Genomic DNA, 12,485 nt, shown 5'->3' on the forward strand with positions numbered 1-12,485 from the left:
CTCCAGCCAGGGTAACAGAGTGAGACCATGTCTGTCAAAATCAAACAAAGATAAAACAAAGAAACACCTTAACCTAAACCTCACAATTCGTTAAAAAATTATCTCAAAATGGATTATGGGCTAGGGCTATGGATAGAGTTACAGATTTTAAACCAAAAACACAATTGACAAAAGGAAAAACTGAAAAATTAGACCTCATGAAAAGAAAAAACTTTTGTTTGACAAAATACACAGTTCAGATAAAAAGGCAATTTATAGACTTGGAGTAAATCTTTGCTAATATGTATTTGACCCAAAAAATTGTATTTAGAATACATAAAGAAATATTATATTTGACAGTATAAAGCAAAACCAAGCAAAAATCCAATTAGATAATGGGCAAAAGACATGAACAGACAATTCACTGAAAGAGAGCAAAGGGATGGCAGATAAGCATATAAAAACATCATTCAACATCAGTAACCATTTGAGAAATGCAAATTAAATCCACTTTGAGATAGCACTATACAGCTATCAGAATATTTAAAATAAAAACTAATGACAAGCGGGATGGCAGTTTAGGAAGCTCCAGGATCCCCCAAGGAAACACTGAATAAATAACAACACTGCACAAAAATAGCTTTGTGAGAACTCTAGAAACCAGTTAAGAAACTGCAGCAACCAACTAAAAAAAATTTTTGAAGGGGTTTATTCCACTTGCAACGCAGATCCAAACATTTGTATAAAGTCATATGCGAATACTATAGGCATGAAAGATGTACGTTTACCTGCACCTGCACACATCACTGATCATATTGTACACAAGGACAGATTTTTACATTTTTTTTAAAATTTTGGGGTTGAGGAACATGTACAGGTTTGTTACATCAGTATATTGCGTGATGCTCTAATCTAGGTTTGGGCTTCTAATGATTTCATCACTTAAGTGGTGAACATAGTACTCAACAGGTAGTTTTTCAACCCTTTCCCGTCTCCTTCCCTCTCTCTCCCCGTTTTGGAATCCCCAGTGTTTATCGTTCCTATCTTTGTGTCCATGTGTACCCAATGTTTAGTTCCCACTTACAAGTGAGAACATGAGGTATTTGGTTTTCTGCTTCTACGTTAATTTGCTTAGATTAATGGCCTCCAGCTGCATCCATGTTGCTGCAAAGGGCATAATTTTGTTATTTTTTATGGCTGCATAGTATTCCGTGATGTATATGTACCACATTTTCTTTATTCAATCCACTATTGATGGGCACCTGGATTAATTCCATGTCTTTGCTATTGTGAATAAATAGTACTGTGATAAACATATGAGTGCGGGTGTCTTTTTGGTAGAATGATTTATTTTCCTTTGGATATATACCTGGGTAATGGGATTGCTGGGTTGAATGGTAATTCTACTTTTAGTTCTTTAGGAAATCTACAAACTGCTTTCCACAGGTGCTGAACTAATTTGCATTTCCATCAACAGTGTATAAGCATACACTTTTCTCCAGTATCTCACCAACATCTGTTATTTTTTGACTTTTTAATAATAGCCATTCTGACTGGTATGGGATGATATCTCACTGTGGTTTTGACTTGCATCTCTCTCATAATTAGTGATGTTGAGCATTTTTTCCATATGTTTCTCAGATGCTTCTCTGTCTTTTTTTGAAACTGTCTTTCATGTTTTTTGCCCACTTTTAAATGGTGCTATTTATTTATTTTTGTTAATTTGTTTAACTCTCTTGCAGATTCTGGATATCAGTCCTTTGTTGGGTACATAGTTTGTAAATACTTTCTCTCATTCTGTAGGTTGTCTATTTACTCTGTTGACAGTTTATTTTGATGTGCAGAAGATTTTTAGTTTAACTAGGTCCCAATTGTCAATTTTTGTTTTTGTTGTATTTGCTTTTGAGGACTTAGTAATAAAGTCTTTGCCTAGGCCAATGTCTAGAAGGATATTTTCTAGAGTCTCTTATGGGATATTTATAGTTTAAGGTCTAAGGACATTGTATAATGATAAAAAGATCAATTCTTCAAGAAGATGTAACAATTATGAACATATATGCACCAAATATCAGATCTCCTAAATCTATGAAGGAAATATTGATGAATTGAAGGGAGAAATAGACAGCTCTACAATAATAGTTGGATATTTTAGTACTATTTTTCACTTATGGATTGGTATGGTTTGGATCTGTGTCCCCACCCAAATTTCATGTTGAATTGCAATTCTCAGTGTTGTGGGTGGGGCCTGGTGGGAAGTGATTGGATCATGAAGGTGACTTCTCATGGTTTAACATCATCACCCTAGTGCTATCTCATGATAGAGTTCTCATGAGATCTGGTTGTTTAAAAGTGTGTAGCACCTCCCCACTCTTTTCTTTCCCCTGTTCCAGCCATGTAAGATGTGCCTGCTTCTTCTTCATCTTCCACCATGAGTGAAAGTTTCCTGAGGCCTCCCCAGAAGCTGTCATACTTCCTGTACAGCCTGCAGAACCATGAGCCAATTAAACCTCTTTCATATATAAATTATCCAATTCCAGGTATTTCTTTATAGCAATGCAAGAACAGACTAATACATGAATAGAACAACTGCATATAAAATCATTGAGAAAACAGAGGACTTGAACAACAGTATAGACCAATTGATCTGACAGATATATATAGAACACTACACCTAACAAGAGCAGAATACACATTTTTCTCTAGTGCACATGGAACATTCTCTAGGGTAGATCATATATTAGGACACAAAACAAGTCTTAATAAATTTTAAAAGTTTGAAATCATACAACTTAACTTTTCTGATCACAATTGAATGAAACTAGAGATCAATAGCAGAAGGAAAACTGAAAAAAACACAAATGTGGAAATTTGTATGTGAGAAATAAATAACACACTTTAAATAACCAATGGGTCAAAGAAGAAACCACAACTGAAATTAGAAAATATCTTGAGAAAAATAAAAACAAAACATGACATGTCAAAACTGTGGGTGCAGCAAAAGCAGTGGTAAGAGGAAAAATTATAGCTGTAAATGCTTAGAGTAGAAAAGAAGAAAGATCTCAAATCAACAATCTAACTTATACCTTAAGGAACTAGGAGAGGAAAAACAAACTAAACTCAAAGGTAGTAGAAGGAAGGAAATAATAAAGATTAGTGAAGAGATAAATAGAGAATAGAAAAACAATAGAGAAAATCAATGAAACTAAAGTTGGTTATTGGAAAAGATCAACAAAATCAGCAAATATTTAGCTGGATTGCATAAGAAAAAAAGAGAAGACTTAAATAACTAAAATCAGAAATGACAGAGGGTACATTAAAACTGATTTTGCAGAAATAAAAAAGGATTGTAAGAGAATACTATGAACGACTCTCAACAAATTGGATAACCTAGATGAAATGGGTAAATTCCTAGAAACACATGATCTGCAAGACTGATTCATGAAGAAATAGAAAAGCTGAACAAACCTATATCCATCAAGGAGAATGAATTAATAACAAAAAAGCTTCTAACAAAAAAAGAGCCCTGGACCAGATGTATTCTACCAAGAATTTAAGTAATGAATTAACACCAATCCTCCGCACATACTCCCCAATAAATTAAAAAGGAAGAAACACACTTTAACTCATTCTAAGTGGTATTACTTTGATACCAAAACCAGACAGAGACACTAAAAGGAAAGAAAACAACAGATCAATATCTCCAATGAATACTAATGCTAAAATCCTTAACAAAATACTAGTCAACAGAATTCAACAGCATATTAAAAGAATTATACATCTTGTTCAAGTGGGATTTATTCCTGGAATGCAAAGATAGTTCAATATATAAAAATCAATCAATGTTTTTTCATTTTACATCACATCAATAGAATGAAGGAAATAACCACAGGATTATTGCAATTGATCCAGAAAACATCTCAATTTTTGTTGAATTTGACAAAAGTCAGCACCCTTTCATGAGAAAAACACTCAACAAAGTAGGAATATAAGGGAACTACCTCAACATAATAAAAGCCATATATATATATATCATGCCTGTAATCCCAGCACTCTGGGAGGCTGAGGCAGGTGGATCACTTGAGGCCAGGAGTTCGAGACCAGCCTGGCCAATATGGCAAAACCCTGTCTCTACTAAAAATACAAAAATTAGCCAGGCGTGGTAGCACACGCCTGTAATCCCAGCTACTTGGTAGGATAAAACACGAGACTCACCTGAACCCAGGAGGTGGAGGTTGCAGTGAGTCAAGATCATGCCACTGCACTCCAGCCTGGGTGATACAGTAAGACTCTCTCAAAAAAAATAAAATTAGATTAAATTTTTTAAAAAAGCATATATGAAATACTCATAGGCAAACATAATACTCAATGGTGAAAGACTAAAAGCTTTTGCACTAAGATCAGGAACAGGATTTCTATTGAACATAATACTAGAAATCTTAGCCAGATAAATTAGACAAGAAAAAGAAAAGATGTCCAAATTGGAAAAGAAGAAGTAAAAATATACCTGTTTGGGCTGGGCGCAGTGGCTCACACCTGTAATCCCAGCACTTTGGGAGGCCCCAAGGTGGGTGGATCACCTGAGGTCAGGGGCTCAAGACCAGCCTGGCCAACATGGTGAAACCCCATCTCTACTAAAACTACAATGATTAGCTGCGCATGCTGGTGGGCACCTGTAATCCCAGCTACTTGGGAGGCTAAGGCAGAAGAATTGCTTGAACCCGGGAGGCGGAGGTTGCAGTGAGCTGAGATGGTGCCGTTGCACTCCAGCCTGGGCGACAAGAGTGAAACTCAGTCTAAAATATATATATATATATATATATTTTTTTTTTTTTGAAGAACTATTTGTATACCAATGCTCATAGCAGTATTATTCACAATAGCCAAAATGAGGAAGAAACTCAAGTGTCCAAGATGAATGGACAAACAAAATGTGCTATGTCCATATGATGGAATAAAGGAAGAAAATTCTGACACATGCTACAAGAGGAATGAATCTTGAAGACATTATGCTATAAGTGAAATTAGCCAGTCACAACAGGACAACACTGTAAGATTCCAATTATATGAGGTACCTCGAGTAGTCAAATCCATAGCAACAGGAAGTAGAATGACGGTTGCCAGGGGCTGGGGGCAGGAGGGAATGAGGAGTTGTTGTTTAATGGATACAGAATTTCAGATATGCAACTTGGAAAGAGTTCTGGAAACTGGCTGCACAATAATGTGAATGTACTTAACATGACTGAGCTGTACATTTATAAATGGCTAAGATGGTAAATTTTATGTTATATATATTTTACCACAATTCAACATTTTAAAAATGCTGGTGAAGATGTATAGAAAAATGGATCACTCATCTATTGCTGCGGGAATATAAAGTGGCACAGCCATTCTGGGATGCGGTTTGGCAGTTACCTATAAAACCAAACATGCAGCTACCATATGACCCAGCAATTGCACTCTTGGGCATTTATCTCGGAGAAATGAAAATTTATTTTTACACACAGCCCTGTGCATGAGTGTTCATAACAGCTTTATTTGTAATAGACCCAAAGTAGAAACAGCCCAGATATTCTTCAATAAGTGAAAGCCTAAACAAACTATGGAGCATCCATGTTATGGATACTCAGTCATGAAAAGAACAAACCATTCACACACACACAACAACTTGGATGAAATTTCAAGAGAATTATGCTGAGTGAAAAAAGTCAATTCCAAACGGGTACATACTGTCTAAATCCATTTATGTAACATCTTTGAAATGATAAAATTATAAAAATGGAGAGCAGATTAGTGGTTGCCAGGGTTAGGGAAAGGGTGGGAGGAAAGGGAGATGGAGCGGCTATTAAAAGGGATCCTTATGGGGATGGAAATAGCTGTGCCTTGATGAATCTATGTCAATATCTTGATTGTGATGTTGTACTACAGTTTTGCAAGATGTGATTATTGGGGGAAACTGGTGAAGGGTACATGAAAATCTCTGTATTACTACTAATATCTGCATTTGAATCTACAATTATCTCAAAATAAAAAAGTTTAATTTTAAAAAAGCAATAATAATAGATTATTATCTCTCCCTGTTTTCTGTGAGCATGGCAGCTACAGGTTGTCTTTGCTCCTGTGTGTCTGGGGTCTTAAGTGAAAAATGCTAAGGCAGGGGTGGGACCAACTGGAGGCCTCTTCCCGACCTATCTATCAGTAAGTTGGTGCTGGCTGCTGGCTGCTGGCTGGGACCCGAACTTGACTGTCAACCAGGACACCCACACATGGCTTCTCTGTGTTGCCTGGGCTTCCTCACAGCATGGTGGCTGGCTTCAAGTTCAAGTGTCCCAGTTAAAAAAACCAAGCCAATGGGAAGCAGTGTCATCATTTTTGACTGAGCCTCAGGAGTCACCCGGCAAATCCGCAGTCACAAAGTCTCCCCCAGACACAGGGGGAGGGAATTCTTACTTCTTCACGGGATTAGGCAAGGTTCTAGAAGGATAAATATTGTCATGGCCACTTTTGTAAAGAGTCAGCTTCCTCAAAGAAGGTCTTCCAAAGTGTAGAAAGTCCAGGCCTCAACACTCAGATCCTCCTTGAAATGCACTCTGAGAGACTAATGAGCTGTGATTTGAACCTGGGTCCCTTGGCCTAGGAGCCCCAAAAAGCTGGGGCAGTGTCTGGAGGCAGTCCCCTTCCTCCGCTTCCCTTCCTTTTCTGCATGGCTGGATGATTCGTTGGGCCCAACATGACCCAGTGGAGCCACCGTTACCAGCACGTGGTCAGGAGGAGGCTCAGGTGAGGGCCGGTACAGACTAAGCTGGAGCCCCAGATGCTGCCATTGCAGACACCTCCAGACTGTGGCCCTGGAACCAAGGGGCCTCAGCACAGGGAACTCAGAGGAAGGGCGTCGGGCAGGTATGAGGCCCCATCCCAGGCCATTTGGGAGTGGGGTAGACCAGGACTTCTTCAGATCAGAGGACTTCCCTCTTCCATCTGCTTTCCCTCAGGAAAAATGGCCTAGGGAAGATTTTTCAGCGGTTGACAGATGGGATCCATCCCTCCATCCACCCATCCAACACTCTGGGACCTGCTCGCCAGGATCCGGGATGATGGGAGCGGGAGACCAGCACAGATCAGCGCAAGGCCAAGCGGACACTTGGAAGCCCCCATTGTGGCCACCACACTCTAAGTGCCTGTACTCAGGACTGAGCTGATCTGTGTCGGGGCTGGAAGGGCAGAGGCAGGAGGGAGACCCTCCAAGGCTGGAAAGGTGGGTGCTGGAGCTCCAAGACTGTGGTGAGGGAAAGGCACTGCAACTGAGAGTGGGGCTTGGACGAGGGGATGTGGCTGAGGCCCTCACAAGGCTGCGGGTCCTCGCTGAAGTCCCTGGTTGGAGGCTGCAGCCTCAGGGAACGGGGTGGTGGAAACTCCCTCCACTGTCACAGAGAGATGGCCAGGAAGTAAGTCTCCACCTGAGGACTAGGGGAAAGCAACAAAGCCCAGCCTATGCCCCACACTGTACAGTTTTCTATTGCAGCACAGTGAATCACCACAATTTGGTGACATAGGCCAGACGAATTTATTATCTCAGAGTTTCTGTGGGTCAGGAGTCCAAGCACAGCTTAAAAAGACTCTCAGCTGGGCACGGTGGCTCACGCCTGTAATCCCAGCACTTTGGGAGGCTGAGGTGGGTGGATCACCTGAGGTCGGGAGTTCGAGACCAGCCTGAACAACATGAAGAAACCCCATCTCTACTAAAAATACAAAATTAGCAGGGTGTGGTGGCATGCACCTGTAATTCCAGCTACTTGGGAGGCTGAGGCAGGAGAATCGCTTGAACCCAGGAGGTGGAGGTTGTGGTGAGCCAAGATCACACCATTGTACTCCAGCCTGGGCAATAAGAGCGAAACTCCACAGTAAAAAAAAAAAAAAAAAAACTCTCTGCTTAGGGTCTCACCAGGCTGTAATCAAGTTTCCGTTCATTTATTTGGAGCTCCATGTTCTCTCTAAGCTCATTCAGGTTGCCCAGTTTGTAAGTTGCAAGATTCAGTTCTATCTTGCAGTTCCAAGACTCGGGTCCCCACTTTGTTGCTGGCTGTAGGCCACCCTGGGACTTGTCTCAGCTTCTGGAGACCATGCTTGGTCCTCGCGACATGGACTCTGTGTGCATCTACTCTGGGACTGCTATAAAGAAATACCGGAGGCTGGGTCATTTATAAAGAAAAGGGGTTTAATTGGCTCATGGTACTGCAGGCTGTACAGGAAGCATGATGCTGGCATCTGCTCGGCTTTGGGGAGGCCTCAGGAAACTTACAATCAGGGCAGAAGGTGAAGGGGAAGCAGATACGTCGTCTTACATGGCTGGAGCAGGAGCAAAAGAGGTGAGAGGGGAGGTGCTATCCACTTTTAAACAACTAGATCTGGTGAGGACCCACTATCATGAAGACAGCAACAAAGGGATGGTGTCAAACCATGAGAAACTGCCCCCATGATCCAATCACTTCCCACCAGGCCCCACCTCCAACACTGGGGATTACAATTCCACATGAGATTTGGGTGGGAACACAGATCCAAACCATATCAGACCCACAAGCAGTCTGCAACACGACAGTCTGCTGTCTTCTGGGCCACGTCTCCATGAAGCTTCACCTTCTTTCAAAGGCTCCTCTGGTTGGGCCAGGCCCACCCAGGATAACCTGGATAGTCTCCCTCTTGATTAATTCAATGTCAACTGACTTGTGACAATCACAGGAGTGACATCCTATCATAGTCACTGATTCTGCACACACTAAAGAGGAAGGAATTCTATAGGGAGTTCATACCAGGGGCAGGACTCTTGGGGCCATGCTAGAATCCCGCTTGCCACATATGGGTTTGGAGTCTGAATTTACACCTGTCGAATTGTGGAAATCTCCATGATTAACATCCATTAGGTCCCAGGCAGGAGATATCTTTGCAGTGCATGACAGAGGCAAATAGAAAAATTCTCACAGAAGGCTGGTCGTGGTGTCTCACGCCTGTAATCCCAGCACTTTGGGAGGATGAGGCGGGTGGATCACGACGTCAGGAGATCGAGACCATCCTGGCTAACACGGTGAAACCCTGTCTCAACTAAAAAATACAAAAAAATTAGCCGGGCGTGGTGGCAGGCGCCTGTAGTCCCAGCTACTCAGGAGGCTGAGGCAGGAGAATGGTGTGAACCTGGGAGGTGGAGCTTGCAGTGAGCCGAGATTGTGCCACTGCACTCCAGCCTGGGCGACAGAGCGAAGACTCCAGCTCAAAAAAAAAAAGAAAGAAAAATTCTCACAGGAAAAAAAAATTATATATATATATATATTATATATATATAAATTATATATATTATATATATTATATATATAAAAATTATATATATTATATATATTATATATATTATATATATAAATTATATATATAATATATATTATATATATTATATATATAAATTATATATATAATATATAAATTATATATAATATATATATTATATATATAAATTATATATATAATCACTGAAGATAACATCACAATAAAAAAATTGAACAGACACACGGAAACTCCATTCCCTGCATAAGCAAGTCAGCAGGCAAAATGAATAGGAGCATTGGGATCCATCCCAGGACCTGCAGACCTCTCCTCCTCAACAGGTGTGTGTAATATAGGTTTCCTACCGTGTACTTGGCTGTTGATCTAGATATTGCTTAAAAGGACAGTGAGATTGCATGAAAACCACCACCTACAAAGATGATGAAAATTTTCATTATGAAATTTTGTATTTCATTAAGTTTTAAGATATTTTGTAATGTTTTCCACATGAATGAAACTTTATCATATGTGACCCATTGCACTATTTGATCATATTATGTACAATTTGGGATTAATTTTCAAACCTAAGTATTGCTTTAAGAATTTGAGTAATGAGGCCGGGCACAGTGGCTCACATCTGTAATCCCAGCACTTTGGGAGGCTGAGGCGGGAGGATCACACTTGAGGCCAGGAGTTCGAGAGCAGCCTGGCCAATATGGTGAAACCCTGTTCCTACTAAAAATACAAAAATTAGCCAGCCAGGTGTGGTGGCACACACCTGTAATCCCAGCTACTCAGGAGGCTGGGAGAATCATTTGAACTTGGTAGGCAGAGGTTGCAGTGAACCAGGGTCATGCCACTGCACTCCAGGCTGGGCTGGGCATTTTTTTTTTTTTCTGGAAAAAAAAGAAAAGAAAAGAAAAGAATTCGAGTAATGATTCCAGTTGCTACCACCTCATCAGAGCAAAGTTTCTCTAAATTGAATTTAAATATATTTAAATATATATATAACAACTATTTTGTTGATTCAGGAAAGGTGTAACTTGGCTTTCCTATCATTTGAACATAAATCTATGAAAATCTCATTATCTCAACATAATCAGTGATTTTGCTAAAGCAAAGGCAGGAAAAATAAATTTTACAGAATAAATAACAGTTTATGAAGTATGACTTTATTATTCATGCAAACAACACCAACCCATCAACATCACACCCAGACATGAACAATAATTAAATTCAGCCATCTATGATATTTTGCCACGTTTCAATCATATAAAAACTGTAACTTTATACATATTAGTTTGATTTATGACCTTTACTTTTTTTTTTTTTTTTTTTGGTAGAGATGGGGTCTCCTCATGTTGGCCAGACTGGTCTAGAACTCCTGACTTCAAGTGATCCGCCCTCTTCAGCCTCCCAGAGTGGTGGGATTACCTTTCTTTTTTTCTTTTTTTTTTTTTTTTTTTTTTGAGACAGAGTCTCCCTCTGTCCCCCAGGCTGGAGTGCAGTGGCGCAATCTTGGCTCACTGCAAGCTCTGCTTCCCGGGTTCACACCATTCTCCTGCCTCAGCCTCCCGAGTAGCTGGGACTACAGGTGCCCGCCACCACGCCCGGCTAATTTTTTGTATTTTTAGTAGAGGCAGGGTTTCACCGTGTTAGCCAAGATGGTCTCGATTTCCTGACCTCGTGATCCGCCCGCCTCGGCCTCCCAAAGTGCTGGGATTACTGGCGTCAGCCTCTGCGCCTGGCCGAGTGGTGGTATTACTGCAGGTGTGAGCCACCACACCTGACTATGATTTTTACATGTTTAGACATGTGGTCAGAGGGCCCTGGACACTGTCACTCTAAGAGGGTCGCTGGGAAAAAGGCCAAGCCTGGGGATCACAGCAGAGGACACACCTGGAGCAGCTGGGTCTGAGGGACTGGGCTCCCCTCTGAGGTCACGGTGCCCTTGCAGGGAGGGCCAGGCCAGCAGCAAAGACACACATCTCCAGGTTCTGTTGGACCAGGCCTCAATGGCGCCGCCACGTGGCAGCGTGGAGCAATGTCAGGAACCTGCTCTTCCCACACCAAGAAAACTTTGCACCAAGTCCCCAGGGATTTTTTTGGATTGATTGATTGATTTCTTGAGAATTCAAGGCAAGAGGGGACTGCCAGGGGAAGATATGGGGCTTTCTATTTTTAAGGCCAGTGAATACCAGAATGATTAATTTCAAAGATAATTTGCATTCTGAGTTTGTGGAGCGACACACCAAGAAGTAGATTGTTTTGTGCACAGCAGCTGGGAGCAGGTGGCATAGAGGTTAAACCAGGGAACCTGGACCAGACCTGTGCTTATGTGCTGGCTCCATTACTGGTTAGTCGTGTGATGCCAGGCAAGTTCTGTGGTCTCTCCAAGTCTGTCTTCCCCCAAGTCAATGGGAGTCGTGGGCAGCCTCAAAGCCCCAGAGATGCTGTGATTGATTGAGACAAACTTTGCTTGGCTCCTGCACTCAGTACGGGCTCTACCAATGTAGCTCTCTTTCCCTTCTCCTTCTTCTATCCCTAACCTCCCCCTCCTCCTCCTCCCTCGTAGATGGCAATCCTTGAGTGCTTGTTGGGTGAGTTAATGAATTTGGATGCAAGCCACCAAGGGCGATGGACTTGATCGGTTTCTCCAATCATCCTCGAATTGCCTGGATTCCTACCACACTCCGCCTTCCCCTCCTTAGTCAAGTGTGTTGGACTTTTCTGTCTTTGAGTACCCAGCACACTGTTCCCCAGCTGAGGGCCTCCTGTCTCAGTTTACAGAGAAAACAGAGGAATCGGGCACTTGCCTTCCTTCCCCCATCTTGCTGTCAGCCAGCATCCCTTCTCCTCTGCTTCCATGGGGCCAGCCCTGCCTTGTCCCTTCAGCTCACCATGTCTAAGAACTTCACTCCTGCAATTACCCTCCTCTCACAGTTGGGTTACCAAGTCATGTTACATATCTCCACTCTTTCTTTTCTTTTCTTTCTCTTTCTTTCTTTCTTTTTCTTTCTCTCTTTCTTTTCTCTTTCTTTTCTTCTTTCTTTCTCTCTTTCCTTCTCTTTCTTTCTTTCTTTTTCTTTCTTCCTTTTTCCTCTCTCCCTCCCTCTCTCCTTTCTTTCTTTTTCCTCTCTCCTTCCCTCTCTCCTTCCTTCCTTTCTTTCTTTCTTTCTTTCTTTCTTTCTTTCTTTCTT

This window comes from Homo sapiens, chromosome 15 (genome assembly GCF_000001405.40).
Source record: "Homo sapiens chromosome 15, GRCh38.p14 Primary Assembly".
Classification (NCBI taxonomy): Eukaryota; Metazoa; Chordata; class Mammalia; order Primates; family Hominidae; genus Homo; species Homo sapiens.